This window comes from Homo sapiens, chromosome 6, assembly GCF_000001405.40.
Source record: "Homo sapiens chromosome 6, GRCh38.p14 Primary Assembly".
NCBI lineage: Eukaryota > Metazoa > Chordata > Mammalia > Primates > Hominidae > Homo > Homo sapiens.
The window spans coordinates 27,712,402-27,733,045 of NC_000006.12; the positions used below are offsets into that span (position 1 = coordinate 27,712,402).

General features: G+C 41.2%; 2 non-coding genes across 2 annotated transcripts, besides 2 other annotated features; one reads left to right on the plus strand and one right to left on the minus strand.

Annotated features, from left to right (window-relative positions):
• Positions 6,850-6,929: an enhancer, noted in NCBI's record as "active region_24299". NCBI's record gives its function as "activates an Ori minimal core promoter by ATAC-STARR-seq in GM12878 lymphoblastoid cells {active_cell/tissue: GM12878}" and the evidence as "EXISTENCE:reporter gene assay evidence [ECO:0000049][PMID:35858748]".
• TRL-TAA2-1 (tRNA-Leu (anticodon TAA) 2-1) lies at positions 8,718-8,800 on the minus strand. Its single transcript has one exon. It is a non-coding gene; the product is annotated as a tRNA-Leu (tRNA).
• Positions 8,965-9,034: an enhancer, noted in NCBI's record as "active region_24300". NCBI's record gives its function as "activates an Ori minimal core promoter by ATAC-STARR-seq in GM12878 lymphoblastoid cells {active_cell/tissue: GM12878}" and the evidence as "EXISTENCE:reporter gene assay evidence [ECO:0000049][PMID:35858748]".
• On the plus strand, positions 14,293-14,366 carry TRT-AGT4-1 (tRNA-Thr (anticodon AGT) 4-1). Its single transcript has one exon. It is a non-coding gene; the product is annotated as a tRNA-Thr (tRNA).
• Positions 14,367-20,644: the final 6,278 nt, after the last annotated feature.

Here is a 20,644-nt window from a genome sequence, read left to right on the forward strand (position 1 = left end):
CAACTCGGCCTCCCAGAGTGTTGGGATTATAGGCGTGACCACCATGTCCAGTCATACATGACTTCTTATGGTTCAGTGACCTATTTTTAAAAATATATCCTTCTCCAAAAAAAAAAGGACCAAAAAAAATCCTTTCTTGATTTTTTTCCCTGCACTTCACTTTTACCACCTGAACACCAGAAGAGGGATTGGGAAGCAATCCCTGTGCACCAAACATACCTCGAAAAAGGGATAGAATCCAGAGTATGGGAAAGAATTGTTTCCTTTTCTTGACAATAGAAAAAGTCTGAAGACATTCTGTCAGACCAACTGCATGATGTGTGAGGCCCAGTGTAAAATGAAAATACAGAGTCTCTTGTTCAAAAATTATTAACAATCTCCAGATGGTGATAGCAGAGCATTGAACCAATTGTGGGGCTCTTCTGGGTGCAGGGCCATTTGCAACTGTAGAAGTTAACATGCCCATGAAGCTAGTCTGGACATCTTTAGAGTGATGATAAAAATGTACATGAGTAACTCACACTTTAGTGCCTGGACTCTTAAGCTATTTGAAAATTAGCAATTGTCATCATTGAGTCATCAGTATAATTACTGTTTTCTAGGAGCCCTCTACCTTCGCAATTCCCGGTGCTGTGGAGCTGTCAGAGTTTTAACATCTCAACCAAGCCACATGGATACTATTTCCTCAGAAAAGACAAAATTGATCCAAGCAGAAGAGTGAACTCACCGAAGAGGACTCTCTACCCATAACTGGGGATGCCTCAGCCACTCACACTTACTCCAAGATTAGTGTCACTGATTATGGAAAGAATTGACTTCTTCCCCTGGTCTTGCTCATTTTTCTAGAGCCCAGGACAATAAATGTGTTTTACGGCAGAGAAAAGTGAAGACGGGTGGAATTGTGTGTGTTGAGAGAGAAGCAGATAGGCAATCTTACGCTTTGGCTCCTAGATTATGCAGGTGCCTCTTTTCTATCATCTCCATAAATCCTACCCTTACTGCGCTTCCTATTCTGCAGGGGTATTTTGTTGTCCGTAACAGAACTCCTCCTCTGTCTGTAAAGTTTAGGTTTTGATAAAAAATCCTCTTCCCTCCAGAAGCGTCTACTAAAAATACAAAAAAATTAGCTGGGTGTGGTGGCATCCACCTGTAGTCCCAGTTACTCAGGAGACTGAGGCAGGAGAATCGCTTGAAACTGGGAGGCGGAGGTCGCAGTGAGCCAAGATCATGCCACCGCACTCCAGCCTGGGTGAGAGTGATACTCCGTCTCAAAAAACAAATGAACAATAAAAAACAAACAAAAAAGAAATAAATGTCTAGGGCTAGGTGCCATGGCTCATGCCTATAATCCCAGCACTTAGGGAGACATAGGTGGGCAGATCACTTGAGGTCAGGATTTCGAGACCAGCTGGACAACATGGCAAAACCCTGTCTCTGTTAAAAATACAAAAATTAGCCAGGTTTGGTGGCCCACACCCATTGGGAGGCTGAGGCATGAAAGTCACTTGAACCTGTGGAACCTGGGAGGTGGAGGTTGCAGGGAGCCAAGATCATGCCACTGCAGGTGAGCCTGGGTGACAGAGCAAGACTCTGTCTCAAAAAAAAAAAAAAAAAAAAAAAAAAGAGAGAGAAAGAAATAAGTGTCTAGAATATTTTAAAGGCTATGGAAATAAAGCAGGAATATTTTCATGAAAGGCAGCTTATAAAGGATGAGGATGGTTTTCTCTTTAGGGTAAAGGAACTAATATTTATTAAGCACTTACTATTTATCAGGCAGTATGTGACATACAATGTATGTGGGAGTGTGTGTGTGTCTTTCCTCACAATTATTTTATAGAGTAGGGGTTAGTACAATGAAGATGTTGTAGCTTAGAGAGAGGAAGTGGCAAAACCAGAATTGGAAAACAAGACTGTTGGGCTCCAAGGTCCATGCACTTTTCCCCTTTAAAGGTCTTAGGTAAAGAGTAGACCCATTTGGATAGGCCCAAACTAACAGTCTATCTCCAGAGTCCTTGTCCTAAATTCTTTACCCCACTGCCTTCTGAGAGGAAGTTCATCTTTTTACCAGGGAGTAGCCACCTTCAGAAGAATTCTCCTGTCTATATAACCAAATTAATAGAATCCTGGTAAATCAACTGGAATGTTAACTGTTCTGATTTTCAACTGTTTTTACCTTCATCATTAATACTGAATATGGACTGTAGGTTGGATAACTGCTGTTCAAGGTAAGGAACTCTGAGCAGCAGCCTTGAGCTACCAAGGCATTAAATAGGATTTTTGCTTAAAAATCCTATATTTTTGCTTAAAAATATTAAAAATATGACTGAGTATATGTATATATTCCCCCCACATTCCAAAGATAAACACTGTTAAGCATGTAAAGCACATTTTACTGTATATATATGGGTGGCATATGTGTGTGAGTGTGTGTGTGTATACATATATACACATACACTTCTAGACATTTATATACATGTGTTGTGTGTATATGTTGTGTATGTTTTTAAAAAGGGATTGTCTTTGGCTGGGCACAGTGGCTCACGCCTGTAATCCCAGCACTCTGGGAGGCTGAGGCAGGAGGATTCCTTGAGCTCAGGGTTTTAAGAGCAGCCTGGCCAACATGGCAAAACCCCATCTCTACTAAAAATACAAAAATTAAAAAAAAGAAATTTATCTGGATGTGGTGGCGCCACCTGTAATCTCAGCTACTTGGGAGGCTGAGGCAGGAGAATCGCTTGAAGCTGGGAGGCAGAGGTTGCAGTAAGCTGAGATTGCTCCACTGCATTCCAGCCTGGGTGACAGAGTGAGACCCCATCTCAAAAAACAAAGTTGGGGCAGGGGGGGATTTGCTATCCTATTAAAAATTTTTGGATCTTTTTTTTTAAAAACTTAATGCTATTTCTTGAACACCTTTACTTAAAGAAAATAGATAGCTAAATATTGCAGTGTGAAGAAAAAGGTCAATAAATATTTGTTGAATTAATGTAACATTTCCTTTGATCACCAGCTGCTTCTAATTCCCTACTTCAGGTATTGTTGAATACTACATTGCTTTAGGCAAAAAGTGTTTTATTTCTCACTGGATCAAAAACAATTAAGGATGTCATTTTCTCTTCTTCCTTTGAGTTCCAATAAATCTACATTTGTTCTTGTTCCCTTGTTTAGAGGTGCAATGGAAAAGAAGTTTGCAGATTGTACTCCTGCCTGGTTGGATAAACTCATTTGAAAATAAGCTCCTGTTTTGTGCAGATGCAAATTTAAATGTGCTATTTGTAACTAATCACTGATAAAATAGAGATTTCCAAAATATATTGAGAAAAAGAGCTGCAGAATAATTTGCAAGTTTCATAAAATCAGGAAGAATGCATTTAAAAACTAAAGTAAGCTAGGAAGGATGGCTCATGCCAGTAATCCTAGCACTTTTGGTGACTGAGGTGGGAGGATCACTTGAGCCCAGGAGTTTAAGGCCAGCCTGTGCAACATAGATCTCATCTCTACAAAAAAATTAAAAAATTAGCTAGATATGGTGGCATATACCTATAGTTCCAGCTACTCAGGAGGCAGAGATGGGAGGATCACTTGAGCCTAGGAGGCTGAACCTGCAGTGAGTCATGATTGCACCACTGCATTCTAGCTTGGATGACACAGTGAGACCCTGTCTCAAAATAAACAAAACAAAACAAAAAAGAAAAGAAAAACTATGGTAGAAGTGGTAGGGGGAATTGAGGGAATGGGGGAAAGGAAAGGCCAAAGACTTTTTCTATGCCTTTTAATACTTTCTCATTTTTGAACCATCTGAATATATATGACTTGGGCAAAAAAAATTTAAGCAAAAAATATTGCATCTGTTTCTTTCATTGTAACTATGCTAAGTTTGGTGAAAATTGTTCTTTATTTTTAAATTTTGTTTTCTCTTACACTAAACTATTGTGATGGTTAATTTTATGTGTTAATTAGACTGGGCCATGATATGCCCAGATATTTGGTCAATCAATATTCTGAGTGTTCTGTGAGTGTATTTTTGGATGAGTTTGACTTATTAATATTATTGTTAATATTATTTTTTAGACAGGGTCTCTCTCTCTGTCACCCAGGCTGGAGTGCAGTGGTACAATCTTCGCTCACTGCAGCCTCAACCTCCTGGGCTCAAGTGATCTTCTCACCTCAGCCTCCTGAGTAGCTGGGACTACAGGCATGTGCTACCACACCTGGCCAATTTTTCTATTTTTTGTAGAGACAGGGTTTCACCATGTTGCCCAAGCAGGTCTTGAACTCCTGGTCTCAAGCAATCCCTCTACCTCTACTTTCCAAAGTGCTGGAATTACAGGTGTAAGCCACCATGCCTGGCTGAGTTTAACATTTTTAAATTTAAATTTAAATTTTTATTTTTATTTTTTTGAGACAGAGTTTCACTCTTGTTGCCCTGGCTGGAGTACAATGGTGCAATCTCGGCTCACCACAACGTCTGCCTCCAGGTTCAAGCGATTCTCCTGCCTCAGCCTCCCAAGTAGCTGGGATTACAGGCACCTGCCACCAGGCCCAGTTAATTTTTGTATTTTTAGTGGAGATTGGGTTTCACCATGTTGGCTAGGCTGGTCTCGAACTCCTGACCTCAGGTGATCCACCTGCCTCAGCCTCCCAAAGTGTTGGGATTACAGACATGAGCCACCACGCCCGGCCTTAAATTTTTATTTATATTTTGAGGGGGTCTCATTGTGTTGCCCAGACTGGAGTGCAATGGCACGATCATGGCTCACTGCAATCTCCACCTCCTAAGCTTGATTCTCCTGCCTCTGCCTCCTGAGTAGCTGGAACCACAGGTCTGCACCACCATACCAGGCTAATTTTTTGTATTTTTGGTAGAGAAGGGGTTTCACCATAGTGCTCAGGCTGGTCTCTAACTTGTGAGCTCAAGTGATCCGCCCACCTCGGCCTCCCAAAGTGCTGAGATTACAGGTGTGACCCATGGCACCTAGCCGAGTTTAACTCTTAAATAAATAAACTGTGCCAGGCATGGTGGCTTGCACCTGTAATCCCAGCAATTCAGGACATGGAGGTGGGAGAATTGCTTGAACCTAGGAGTTTGAGACCAGCATGGACAACATAGTGAGACCTTGTCTCTAAAAATATAAAATTTTAATTAAAAAAAAACTGAATAAAGCAGATTACCCTCCCCAATGTGGGTGGGCCTCATCCCGTCAGTTGCAAGCCTGACTAGAACAAAAGCCTGGCCTCCCAGGAAGAAGAGGGAATTCCTCCTGCCCGACTGTTTTTTAGCTGGGACATTGGTTTTATTTCTGCCTTTGAACTCAACCTGAAACACTGGCCGTTCCTGGATTTTGAGCCTGCTGGCCTTCAAACTGGATCTATACCACTGGCTCTCCTGGGTCTCCAGCTTCCTGACTGCAGATCTTGGGATTTGTTGGTCTCATAAATATTATATATGTATATGTAAAATGTTGATTCTGTTTCTCTTTAAAAAGAAAAGACAGCTGGCCAGGCACGGTGGCTCACACCTGTAATCCCAGCACTTTGGGAGGCTGAGGCGGGTGCATCACCTGAGGTCAGGAGTTCGAGACCAGCCTGACCAAAATGGAGAAACCCCGTCTCTACTAAAAATACAAAATTAGCTGGGCGTGGTGGCGCATGCCTGTAATCCCAGCTACTCAGGAGGCTGAGGCAGGAGAATAGCTTGAACCTGGGAGGTGGAGCTTACAGTGAGCCACCGAGATTGTGTCATTGCACTCCAGCCTGGGCAACAAGAGCAAATCTCCATCTCAAAGAAAAGACAAGACAAGACACCTTTGAGGTCCTCTTCTGGTCCTCTGCACCAGAAAGCTTGGGAGAGTGGGGACATATTTTTCCCCCATTGCTGCATTCCTAGTAACTAGATGTGTGCTGCAAAAAAAAAAAAATAGTTTAAGGAATGAATTGGTAGCTATTGTTATATGTAAATGTGAAATTAATATCTACAAATACATATCTGTATTTATAAATTGTACTTACGTAGAGAAACAAAAAAATAAAAATAATTGTAATTACATACTTAGGGAATATATGCTTCTATTAATCTAAAATTTAATTATTAGCGTCTTTTTTTTTTTTTTTTGAGACAGAGTTTCGCTCTTGTTGCCCAGGCTGGAATGCAATGGCACGATTTCAGCTTACCACAACCTCTGAGGCACGAGAATGGCTTGAACCCAGGAGGCGGAGGTTGCTGTGAGCATCACCCACTGCCAGCCTGGGTGACTGAGCAAGACTGTCTAAAAACAACAACAACAACAACAACAACAACAAACAAACAACCAACAGAAATTAGAGTTGAGTAGAAATTTTCAGCATCACTAATAATCAGACAAATATAACAAAACCAAGTGACAGATACAATAGATTCAAATCTCTTGTGGCAGAGGTGTGCATTGGGTGGTGACTTTAGGTTGCAGTTGGCCCTTCCATTAGGAAAAGTTACATAAATTAACTTCTGTAGGGATCATTCCCTAATATTGATGTCATCAGCACTACGCTCTAAACAACTGAGCTAACAGACCACACAGAAAACAGACTGCTGTGTTTTCAGAAAGATCTGATTCAGGTAAAATCTATGTCATCTGGTGAATTAGTCCATTTTCATGCTGCTGATAAAGACATACCCAAGACTGGGTAATTCATAAAGAAAAAGAGATTTAATGGACTCACAGTTCCACGTGACTGGGGAGGCCTCACAATCATGGTGGAAGGCGAAAGGCACGTCTTAGGTGGTAGCAGACAAGAGAGCATGAGAGCCAAGTGAAAGGGGAAACCCCTTATGAAATCATCAGATCCTGTGAGACTTATTCACTACCACAAGAACAGATCGGGGGAAACTGCCCCCGTGATTCAATTATCTCCCACAACACATGGGAATTACGGGAGCTACAATTCAAGATGAGATTTAGGTGGGGACACAGCCAAACCATATCATCTGGAGTTTCATTTCGAAACATAACAAAACCACTCATCCTCTTTTTCCTACCCCATCCACGTGACAGAAATAAAAGTAAGAAAACCAACCTTTGCTAGGGATGAATTATTCTCCTCTGTGGGAACTTAGTCTTTCTCAAACCTGAGTATTCTGGCTGTGAGGTTGCAAATAAACATTCTCAGAAGGTGCTTCCTTCCCTGCGCCCCAACATCCCCAACCCTCTCAAGGCCAGGAACAAACTCAAAGCACTGAGGCAGCTCATGAAAGTGACCCAATTTGTGCTGCCACCTGGATCAGATAAATTTCAAGTGTGGAATCTTGGTGTTTGATCTCAACCTAGAAACATAACTATAAGGACAATAATCATCCAACATAGAAACAAATTAACTATCAGAACAATATCTAATTTCTGAGTTTCTCTGAAGGATGGCTCTAAAGGAAAGTGTGAGTTTCTTCTAAGAGAAAAGGGTACTAACCGATATAGTGGGAAAGGGCACTTTAAAATTTGCCAGGCATTTTCTTAGATACTATATATATATATATATATATATTTCTTTTAATCCTTACAACTCCCTTCTATGAAGTAGGGATTATTATTTTTATTTAACAAATGAGGAAATCAAGATTCAGAGATTCAATGGGAAAGCCAGAATTAGGACATCTGATTGCTGAGTTCCAAAGTCCACTCTTTCAAATGCTCCTAGAGACACAAGGTCCTATGAATTTTAAAGGCAACAGAATTTAGTATGCTGTCATTTCAATCACTCTGGGAAATATGAGTATTCAGTAATGGTGTTGGGATTAGTGGTAGTCTGCTGGAACTAATGCAGAGTTGGATCTCTACCTCACATATTACACCAGAGGAAAAATGAGATCAAATAATTAAATGTAAAAAAGAATATTCTAGAAGATACAAAGTTATTTTGTGAAATGACCTCATAATGGGGAAAGGCATATCTAAGTTAAACATAAAACTTGAAGAAAAGACTGATAACTTTGGTGGTTGCATAGATACCCATTTTCACATGTCCCAAGCCACCCCAAAGTTCAAAGACAACAAACTAGACTACTTGTGATTCATGTCAAAACAAAGTTTAATCAAGCCATATTTAAAGAGACCCTACAAATCATAAGAGAAAGACCTAACAACTAAGTAGAAAAATTAGCACAGAATACTATGCATGTAACAGAAAAGGAAATACAAATGGCTTTTAAACATATAAAAAGGTGCTCAAGGACAATATAACCAGTTAAATGCAAAATAAAACTCCCTGAGGGATCATTTTCACATTTCAAACTGGAAAAAACAAGATAAACTCTGTTGAGAAGGACTCAACCATGCTCTTCAGAGTGTGTGAGAGACAGCCCTAGCTAAGGGTTGGGCTTTTCTTGTACAATCATTTGGAAACTATGAAAATCCTGGGGAGTGGCTCTTATTTCCTGGGAGGTACCTAGAACTAGAGTTTCTTACCTGTGGCCTTCCGGTCAAATAGCCTCAGAGGTTCAGTTCCTGGTGGAATTGAAAATCCTGGAGTAGGCCATGGATGTGAGCGGTGGATATGAGGGATTTTTCCTTCTATTGGCAATCTGATAGGTTGTGGTAGAGAATCATTCACACACTACTGCCTGTTGAGGCGATTTCTTTAGATTTGAAGACAAAAAAACGTCAGTGTTAACGCAAAGGGGTAGAGAAACAATTAAGTTACCTTCGCGTACTTTTTAAATGCTGGTATTGAAAGGAGTCGAAAACTTAACCTACCGAGAGTGGGGTTCGAACCCACGCGGGCACCAGCCCATTGGATCTTAAGTCCAACGCCTTAACCACTCGGCCATCCCGGTGACTGGGGCAAGTTTCAAGGCAATCATTTTTTTATAACAACAAAGGCATTTGCACTGAGAGTCAAGGAAGTACCGAATTATTCCTGTTTTTACTGAATTGTATTAAAATATAAGGAGGATATAATAGGAAAACACAGCATGTGTTCATCAATCACTTCTCCTGAGTCTCCTCACTTGGTCAAAAATTTCCGGAGAAATTTTTGTTTGTACCTGATTTGAAAAGAAAAACAAGGGAGCGGTTGGAGGGGAAGGGTGGAGAGATGAGGGGAGGGAGTGCCCTAGTGGAAACCACAGCATTAACACCACCTACTACTTCTACTTCACTAAAGGCACTGTCCCGATTTTTTCTTCAGAGATCACTGTTTTGCCTGCTGAATTCAAACCTCCACCCCAGACACACTGATGTCATTGGAGGCATCAGGACTGGGGGCCCAAGTTTTATTATATTAAAACGAGTTCATGCTGGGGTAAATTTTAAGATCTTTAGTGGACAGAAAGGCAGTTCAAATTCTTTGATTTTAGTGACAAAATGCTTTAAACTGACAATGCAACCTATCAACAAAAGGACCATATTGAGCTGTGTGTGGGCTGCACAGAAATACGCCGCCCCAGAACTCTAAGTGCTCCCGGAAAAGCTCGCAATTGTTACAACAGAGAATCCAATTCTTGTGGCTAAAGTATCTCCTGGGGGACTTATTACAAATGTGGATTCTAGAACCCCTCGTGCAATGATCCTGACTAAAGCGATTTACTATGGGTCCCAAGAATCTTAATCTTACCAAGCACCCTCAAGTAATTCTAACTTCAATAGTCTGCTAAACGGCACTCAGTGAAGGGTGCTAAAGCTGTCATGGGGAATTTAAAAACTCATGAAATAAGCTCGTAGAAAGGAAGTTTAGGGTCTGGAGGACACAGAGCTGAAATGAAATCCTGAAGTAGGGTTGGAATATAATTAATTTATGTAACAATACTGAACACCTAGTGTGTGGCGTGCCCCTTTGTTTTTCAGGTAATCAGAGGAAAGCACCACAATATGCAAAGGTTGTGTGGTCTGCAGCAGACAAGCAAAGAAAGTCAGAGAACATCTCCTCAGAATCTCATCAGCTGAGGAAACAGGAGTCCAGGTCTTATTTGTGATGCTCAGGACTGCTTGGGTCCACATCAGGATCTTTATCTGCCTGATGAAGCCATGGGAAAGGAATGGACCCCTGAAGTCCTTTGGCTGTTGGGCTCTGGGTTCTGTCTCTGGCCAGATCAAGGTTCCATTCCTAGAAGAAGAGATACGGCCTGAGAGATTCCCGCTTCTACCAAACACTGAAGGAAATTCAGGTCTCTTGCTGCTGGGGCAAGAACTGACTTGAGGATGGGAATGGAGGTGACTGGAAGGTTCCATGAAAAGCATATCAGAGAAAGAAACCATCATAAATAGATAGACATAAAAATGTTCAGAATATTCTATTGCTGTTAGCTCTGAAACTACAGAGCAGAATCAATCAGCTGTGAAGATTTTTAAAGTATACTTATATAGAGGGTTTAAATATCTACATGTGACAGTAAAAAAGAAAACTATTCGAAGTATATGAAGGATGGTCGGCCTCAGTGGCTCCAGCTATAATCCCAGCATTTTGGCAGGCCGAGGCGGGCAGATCACCTGAGGTCGGAAGTTGGAGACTAGCCTGGCCAACATGGCGAAACCCCGTCTCTAGTAAAAATACAAAATTAGCTGGGCATGGTGGCGCATGCCTGTAATTCCAGCTACTCGGAAGGGTGAGGCAGGAGAGTCGCCTGAGCTGGGGAGGTGGAGGTTGCTGTGAGCCCAGATTGTGCCACTGCACTCCAGCCTAGGCGACAGAGCGAGACTCCGTCTCAAAAAAAAAAAAAAAAAAAAAATGTATATGAAGGAGAACATCCTTATACCCAGGAGACAGAAAACTTTTGAAAACTTCAAAAGCACAAACCATAAGGCAAAAAACAAAGAAGACATATTTGCTTACATTAAAATCAAGAATATAGCCACTGTAGTCTAGCTACTGGGGAGACTGAGGCAGGAGGGTTGCTTGAGCCTAGGAGTTCAGTGCCAGTCTGGCCAACATAGCAAAACCCCCACCTTTAAAAAAATCTTTTTTTTTTTTTTTTTTTTTGAGACGGAGTTTCGCTCTTGTTGCCCAGGCTGGAGTGCAATGGCGCGATCTCAGCCCTCCGCAACCTCCGCCTCCCAGGTTCAAGCGATTCTCCTGCCTCAGCCTCCCGAGTAGCTGGGATTACAGGCATGTACCACTATGCCTGGCAAATTTTGTATTTTTAGTAGAGACAGGGGTTTCTCCATGTTGGTCAGGGTGGTCTCCACCTCCTGACCTCAGGTGATCCCCCCGCCTCGGCCTCCCAATGTGCTGGAATTACAGGCGTGAGCCACCGCGCCCGGCTAAAAAAAATCTTAAATTAAAAAATCAAGAATATGTAAGGTAAAGGATACAGTAGAAAAATAAATATGTAGATAGATGCACTAATGGGAGAATATGTTTGAATTGTCTCCAAAAATGGCAAGGGCTTAATATATATCAAGAAGCCATGAAAATCTGCAAGAGAAGGACAGCAAGATCAAAAGGAAATGAACAAAAGATAGGACAGGCAATTAAAGGAAAGAAATATGTCATGACTAACAAAGATTGCACAAAACCTTTAGTAATCACAGAAATAAAAAGTAAAAAGATATATCGCATTTACTGTCATTACATTGGCAAAACTAGAAGCTGAATAAAATCAATTTTTGCAGGACTAGTGATAAAAGAACCCTCCTGTCCTGCCAGTCGAAGTTTAAATTAATGAAGCCATTCTGGAGTACTTCTTATTCAAATTAAGTATATTCACATTCTATGATGTAACTGCTCTGCTCCTAGGCATAAATCTTCCCCCACCCTATCCACTGCCTCAAATCTTACACAACTACCGAGAGTACACATGTGATAAAGTTAATCACAGCCTTATTTTAGTCTTTTGAAATTGAAAGAAAATTTAATATTTATTATTGGAAAGTGGACAGGTAAACTGTTATAAATGCACACCATAGGCTATTAAGCAATATAAAAAGTAACAGAGTAGATATACATGCAATAATGTGGATGGAACTTGAAATTATAATACTATTGAAAAAGAACACCAATAAAAGAGATATGGGTTTCTGCTTCTACCTGTGAAGAAGTCACTGTTAGGAAAATTGCAAACAACAAGAAAAATATACTGGACATAAGTATGTGAAATAACTGTTTTCAGGCATCGCCTGCTGTCAGTTTGGGACTGCGATACCTGAGAGAAGAGAAATAAATGAGGTGAGTCTTACAAATGTTTTAGCTTATTGTCTAGAGTACGATCAGAAAATGTGGTCTAAAGATGAAGCCAAGGGTGTTATTGTAAGTCCTTTATTAATACCACAGAGAGACTTAAGGTGGTATCTAAACAAACCCCTGAGGTTCTTAAGGACATACCTTAAGGATCCTATAGTTTAAACAATAACTCTACAACTCTTAAGACTGTGGCCCTACTGCAGTTTTATGGGAAGCCAAAGGGAGACAAGGCATTATTTTCATGAATGTGGCTTTTGTTTTAAAAGAGATTGGCGAACTTTAAAAAAAATTTTTTTTATTGAGGCAGAGTCCGGCTCTGTTGCCCAGGCTGGAGGGCAGTGAGTGGTTCGATCTTGGCTCACTGCACCCTCCACGTGCCAGGTTCAAGTGATTCTCCTGCCTCAGCCTCCCAAGTAGCTGGGACTACCACCATACCCGGCTAATTTTTTTTTGTATTTTTAGTAAAGAGGGGTTTTCACCAGGTTGGCCAGGCTGGTCTCAAACTCCTGGGCTCAAGTGATCCTCCTGTCTTGGCCTCCCAAAGTGCTGGGATTATGGGGGTGAACCACTGCTTCTGGCCTGGAAAACTTTTTCTTTAAAGACCCAGATAGTAAATATTTTAGGCTTTGTGGGCCATTCAGTTGATGTGGCAATTACACAAATCAGCTGTTGCAGGAAAGCAGCTACAGATAATGCTAAATGAATGAACGTGGTTATGTTCCAATAAAGCTTTATAAAAACAGATATAAGTCCAGATTTGGCCTGTGGGCTATAGTTTGTGAACCCCTGGTCTAAAGGAATAAACTTCAGTAACTTTCATAAAGTCACATTTTTTGAAGAAAATTAGAGTATTTGAACATTGACAGTCTGGACTGAAAGGAATAAAGGACAGCATAAAATGAAAAGAATTTGGACCTCACCCCTCTTCCTCCCAGACTACTATGGGAAAGAAGTAGGCTAAGAAAACCATTCAGCTGCAAGTAAATGATATTTCTTATTAAAAGAATGAATGAATCTGAGTGTGGAATAAGATCCCAGGAGATGGACCAAAGAGCCTAGGGAGTCATTCTCAGACGGCATTACTGAGTTCCAATCAACGCACTAGCGTTATGTGCCCACTGAATTCTACAATTGCTACAGACCAGTGTGACTCTTGTTTTTTGTTTTTTGTTTTTCTTTTTCCTCTTGTTTTTGTTCTTTTTGAATAGGATTGTGTATCGAGATTATCCTATGTCTCCTGTGCCTGTAGTTGGGAGACAGGTAACTTGTATCTTAAGTACATAGATGTTCAAACTAAGTAGAACCTTATTTGAAAAAAATTTTTTTTTTTTTTGAAACGGAGTCTCGCTCTGTCACCCAGGCTGGAGTGCAATGGCGCGATCTTGGCTCACTGCAAGCTCCGCCTCCCGGGTTCAAGCGATTCTCCTGCTTCAGCCTCCCGAGTAGCTGGGACTAACAGGGGCCAGCCACCACCCCTGGCTAATTTTTTGTATTTTTAGTAGAGACGGGGTTTCACCACGTTAGCCAGGATGGTCTCAATCTTCTGACCTCGTGATCCGCCCGCCTCGGCCTCCCAAAGTGCTGGGATTACAGGCGTGAGCCACCACGCCCGGCCGAAAAAATTTACCCAAGGAATTTAATCTGCACCTTTACCTGATTTTGATAACGCCATCCTAGAGGTCGAGTTCATGTTGCAAAGAAGTCAGACGTGGCCAGGGTGACTATATTCTGCATGCTGGACAGGCAGAATCATTGGGGGCCAAGTTAAAGAAAAATGTAGAGAGAGTGTTTTTCCTGTTACCACTTACCCACTGAATGAACAAATGAAATGAGAGTTCATCAGAAGGCAAATTCACTGCCAGGCATAGGAGATGTAATTGTTCTCAAAACCAAGCAAGTTTTCTACCTGGCCGCCAGAGCTTATCGTCTGGAGGTGTTCTTGACATTTAGAGCAGTTTCCTAAAGGAAAACAGTCTTCTTAATTCAGCACCTATTCTTATTCTACAGCAAGAACATTATTCTCTGGTTTTGACTGAGATCCAGAAATGTGGTATTGTGTTACTACAAAGAAAGTCACTGAGGTAGAAACATTGACAGGCCGAGGTGTAAATTTTTATAAAATAATAAATTACCCCTACACAACACAGGTGAGGCTTCGTGGCTTAGCTGGTTAAAGCGCCTGTCTAGTAAACAGGAGATCCTGGGTTCGAATCCCAGCGAGGCCTCTTTATTTCTTCCCCTAAACTTAGGTAAATTCTTGTCACTAGTTAAACCTGACTTAGATGTATACCTAATAAAGCAGCAAACCTTGAATCTCGATGTCTGAGGCACTTTGTAGAGGAACGTGGTGATGGGTTGGAAATATTTACGATGAATTAGCTAAATCTATGCCAGAGACCAACCGTCTAGAACCATCTAGAATTGAGCTGCAATTTTCTACGTTTAAATTTTTGTAGCTACTTTTCATATTTCTAAGGAACTTACAGCTTCACGTAACATTTTTGCTTTTAATACAATTCAAAAGGAAGGCAAGGAAGGAGATGAGACATACATATGGTATAAATTGAGTGTTGTGATAACTTCCTCCTTGCATGATTCTGAACTCTAGAATTTCACTGAATATATTGAAAAGTGGAGTAACATGACAACGTCTTGAGAGGATAAGAAGAATGATTAGTGAAACACCAAAAGAAAACACAAACAAAAACAAAAAACCTAACAAGAGGCTGGAAGCAAATGGGGCCTGAAGTTGTGGATCATTTATTAGACAGATAAAAATAAAATGATGGAAAAAATTAATCAAACCCTGGATACAGTGCTATGTTTTAGCTGCTCTTTAAAGAAAAAAAAATTATCAGTTATATCTTCAAAGTATCACATTCTACAAATGCCTTCCCTCATAACATTCCTTGTTGCAGTATTGCGCTCAGCTTTTTGCTTCTCCCTGTAAGGAATGATTACATTGGATGATTACTCCTTTGTGAGCATTTAGGAGAAAAACCAGTTACGTAATTGATGAGTGCAGTGCAAAATGGAAATGTTCCTTGTTTAAGGAAATTAGGAATTTCAAACCAGCAATAGCAGAGCATTAAATCAAGTGCCTGGCCTTGTGCAAATGCGTAGGTCGCATGCCCATGAAGACAGTCGTGACTGGGAAGACGGTCCTGATTGGGAATGTGGTTATTTGTCAAAAGACTGGATTTTAGAGACACCTTGAAATGGAGTGAAATCTAAAGTGATAGTCAATGATATCAAGTACAGCTAGAAGGCTTGAGCACTTAAAAGTACTAATCAGGGGTGAGGCGCGGTGGCTCACGCCTGTAATCCCAGCACTTCGGGAGGCTGAGGTGGGCGGATCACAAGGTCAGGAGTGTGAGAGCAGCCTGGCCAATATAGTGAAACCCCGTCTCCACTAAAAATACAAAAAGTAGCCAGGCGTGGTGGCGCACGCCTGTAGTCTCAGCTACTTGGGAGGCTGAGGCAGGAGAATCGCTTGAACCCAGGAGGCGGAGGTTACAGCCACTGCACCCCAGCCTGGGCAACAGAGCAAGACTCTATCTCAAAAAAAAAAAAAAAAGTACTAAGCAGGGAAATGTTCCAGTATAAAAAGAATTCTGAAAGTCATGCTTTTATTAGTCTTCTCTAACAAAGTAACATTTCTTATACAATTCAAGTTACTCTTTTCTCAGGCAACTCCACCTCCTTCCAAATCCCATCAAATGGCACCAGCCTGGGATCTTTCAACATAGATATATGCTCCTTCTTCCTTTAGCCTCCTGTTGTCTTTGGGCTCCCACGGGGCTCCCTCTTTAAATCTGGTGTAGGAAGAGAGCAAGTCGTATTCGTAGTACTGAGTTACACAGCGTAAACCACTTACAAGCGTATAGTCATTTATTCGAATGGACGGGGTTCTAAGAGCGTGAGTCCTAAAAACGGTCGCTGTAAATTTTAGGAAGACAAGCGGTCGCTATAAGTTTTAGGAAGACAAAACTGAGGACAATACAATGTTCCCGCCTGATTTCGAACCGGGGACTTTTCGCGTGTGAGGCGAACATAATAACCACTACACTACGGAAACCCCTAACTCATATTATAGAAACCCCTAAGAGAAGGAACTATCCTGCTGGACCTAATCAGGAATTCCCTATTAATCATCCCGCCTTCCTAGAAATTTGTTTTCTTTCTATTCAAGTCAGTGTCTACAATCGCATTTTAAAACTGGTACAAAACAAGCACCACATCGAGATTAGGAAATATCCAAAACCCAGAAATTGCTAAGTATTTGAGTTCTATGAGCCTTATACTAAAACTATAACCTCCATAAGATAAATCTCAAACATCTTGGCTCTGACCAGATTTGACGTTTACTTACTTGACGTGATGACTGGAATTTGTCCTTCTGCTTACCTCAGAATTCCTTCTCACTCTCTCACCTAGAGTCAAAATCGTTGCAAAATTCTACTGAGCTTACATTCAGACTTTATAAAATGTCCTTCTCCTCTGTTGTTGATAGGTCCCTCGTTCAGGCCCTTCATATCTGTTCTTCACGACTGTCCGTACCGATTCTAGGGTTGACTCTCTGAATCAATTCTCCACCGAGCTTAAAGTCCCAAGCTTCATTTCCCTTCACAAAGTTCCACAAACATAAACCTTTCTTCTTTCTTACATATGCATTTTATAGACTTTTTTTTAAAGAGAGGTTCTAGATTCGCAGCAAAACTTTGAGCAGAAGGTACAGAGATTTCCCATATACCCCCTGCCCCCGCACATGCATAACTCCCTATCAACATGCCCCACTAGAATAGTACATTCATTACAATTGTTGACCTATCTTGACATACCATCATCACCCACAGACCGGAGTTTACATTAGGCTTCACTCTTGGTGTTGTACATTCTATCCATTTGCACAAAAGTATGATATATACCCACCAATATAGTATCATGCAGAGTAGTTTCACTGCCTTAAAAATTCTCTGTGCTTGGGCTGTTCATCCCTCCATCCTCACAAACCCTGGCAACGACTGATCTTTTTACTGTGTTCATAGTTTTGCCTTTCCAGAATGGCATATAATTACAATTATACAATATTTGCTTTTTCAGATTGGCTTATTAGTAATGCGCATTTAAGTTTCCTCCATGTCTTTTCATGGGTTGATATCTCATTTCTTTTTAATGCTGAATAATATTCCATTGTTTACATATATCACAGTTAATCCATACACTTACTGAATAATATTGTTTGCTTCCAAATTTTGGCAATTATGAATAAAGGTGCTATAAACATCTGTGTACAGATTTTCATGTGGACATAATTTTTCAACTCTTTTGGGTTAGATACCAAGGAGTACAACTGGATTGTGTGAGAAGAATAAGTTTACTTTTGCAAGAAACCATCAAACTGTCTCTTAAAGTAGCTGTGTCATTTGTGATTCCACCCGGAATGAATCAGAGTTCCTGTTAGTCCAAAGCCTCACCAAAATTTGCTGTTGTCAGTGTTCTGGACTTTAGCTGTTCTGATAGGTGTGTAGTGATATCTTATTTTTGTTTTAATGTTCATTTGCCTGATGACATATGATGCGGAACACCTTTTCATATGCTTATTTTTCATCTGTATATCTTCTTTGGTCACATGATTGTTAAGGTCTTTGGCCATTTTTTTTTTTCATGAGGTTGTGTTCTTACTGTTGAATTTTAAGAGCTCTTTGTAGATTTTGAATAAGAGTACTTTATCTGGTATATCTTTAGCAAATATTTTCTCCCACTGTGTGGCTTGTCTTTTCATTATCTTGATGTTATAGTGTTTTTGATCACTAGCACGTCTTTTTGGCTCTTTCTCAGAATTTCCATCTCTCTGCTTACATTGCCCATCTGTTCTTGCATGCCATCTTTTTTATACATTAGAGCCTTTCGCGTCTTTGTTTTTTCTTTTTTTTTGAGACAGAGCCTCGCTTTGTCACCCAGGATGCAGTGCAGTGGCTCACTGCAATCTCTGCTTCATGGGTTCAATCAATTCTCATGCCTTAGCCTCCTAAGTAGCTGGGATTACAGACATGTACCACCAGGCTTGGCTAATTTTTTTTGTATTTTTAGTAGAGACGGGGTTTCATCATGTTGGTCAGGCTGGTCTGGAAGTCCTAGCCTTATGTGATCCGCCCACCTGAGCCTCCCAAAGTGCTGGGATTACAGGTGTGAGCCACCTCGCCTGGCCAAAGCCCCTAGCATCTTAATCAGTTGTTTCAAATTCCTCGTCTGAGAATTCCAACATCCCTGTCATATCTGAGTCTGATTCTGATGCTTGCTCTGTCTCTTCTGTGTATTTTGCTTTTTATTGTGCCTTGTTATTTTTTCTTGACAGCAGGACATGCTCCACTGGGTAAAGTGAGGTGCTATAAGCAGGTCTTTAGTAATGTTGTGGGAAGGTGTGGGGGGAATAAAGCATTCTGTAGTCCCACAAGTAGGTCTCAGTCTGTTAGTGAACCTGTGTCTCTGGACTGTCAACTTTAAACATGCTTCCTAGGTTTTCCCCCACTTTAGGTGGGACTGGATGGCTAGAGTGGGCTGGAATTGGTTATTTCCCTTCCCGCAGATCAGATGGGCTCTGATAAAACCCCAGCAGGTTAGGCTGAGGTTAAATGGTTTCTCCTGAGGGCAGACCTTATTAAGAGAACAAAATGCTCTGGCCAATTGCAAACTGGTTCTTGACCCACCTGCTACCAGAGATAGAGGGGATTTTTCTCCCATATTCACTATGACAATCTGGTCAAGCTCCTGAGGTAAAATTAACAAAATCGTGGGGTACAGATGACTGAGTTCTGGAGTTTTTATCTCCTAGACTCGCCAATGTTGAGCCACCAACAATTTGCTAATTAGAGTTCAGGTTTCCCTGCTCCAGCGCTAGTTCACATGGTGTCTGTTCTGTCGGTTTCTTCTCTGGTAAGTTGTGATTCTCTGTATTTGTCTTTTTCAATTTTGGGAGCAGTGGCTTGCCCTGTGACCTCATTTTTTCTGACAGACCTAAAAAGACTTGGGTTTTCAGTTTATTCAGGTTTTACTTGTTTTTAGGACTTAGTGATGACTTGTAGCTTCTTACATGCCCGACTGGATAATTTATGTATATAAATCTATAGCTTTCTATCCAAGAACAGTGTTAGCAGCTGTCAATAAGTTTGGATATGATGTACTTTATTATTTTTAGTTCAAACTATTTTCTAATTTCTCTTGTAACTTATCTTTAACCCATAGGTTGTTTGGGAGTGAGATGTAATTTCCCCAAGCATTTGGGGATATTTTCCTTTGTTTCTGTTACTGATTTCTAGTTTAATTCTGTATTGATTAGAGAACATTCTTATTACTTTTCTTTTTTTTGAGATGGAGTCTCGCTCTATTGCCCAGGCTAAAGTACTGTGGTGCGATCTCAACTCACTGCAGCCTCTGCCTCCCGGGTTCAAGTGATTCTCCTGCCTCAGCCTCCTGAGTAGCTGGGATTACCAATGTGGGCCACCATGCCCCACTACCATCAGGTTTTTAAATTTTTAATTTTGAAATAATTATAGATTTACAGGCCATTACAAAGAAAGTACAGAGAAGTCCCCTGTACCCTTAATTTAGTTCCCCCCAATGGCTGCATGTTATATAACTATAGTACAATATCAAACCCAAGAATCTGACATTGGTACATTGTTTGTATATAGTTCTAGGTCATTTTATCATGTGTAGATTTGTGTAACTATCACTGGAAACCAGAAAAAAAAGTTTCATCACAACAAAGATTTCCCTGCGGGTGCCACCACTTAATTAGTTACACTCACTTCCCATGGCACCCACCCCACCACAACTACTAATATGTTCTTTTTTTTTTTGAGACAGTGTCACTCTGTTGCCCAGGCTGGAGTGCAGTGGCGCAACCTCAGCTCACTGCAACCTCTGCCTCCCAGGTTCAAGCCATTCTCGTGCCTCAGCTTCCCAGGTAGCTGGGACTACAGGCACGTGCCACCACACCTGACTATTTTTTGTATTTTTAGTAGGCACAGGGTTTCACCATGTTGGCCAGGCTGTTCTTGAACTCCTGACTTCAGGTGATCCGCCCACCTCGGCCTCCCAAAGTGCTGGGATTATAGGCATGAACCACCGGGCCAGGCCTAATGTGTTCTTAATCTCTGTTTTTTATTTTGTTTTTAGAATGTTATAGAAATAGGCCAGGTGCGGTGGCTCATGCCTGTAATCCCTGCACTCTGAAAGGCCGAGGCAGGTGGATCACGTGAGGCCAGGAGTTCAAGACCAGCCCGGCCAACATGGTGAAACCACATCTCTACTAAACATACAAGAATTAGCTGGACATGGTGGCTCATGCCTGTAGCCCCAGCTTCTCGGGAGGGTAAAGCATGAGAACTGCTTGAACCCAGGAGGCGGAGGTTGCAGTGAGTGGAGATGGCGCCACTGCCCTCCAGCCTGGGTGACAGAGCAAGATTCTGTGTTAAAAAAAAAAAAAAAGGATGGCCTT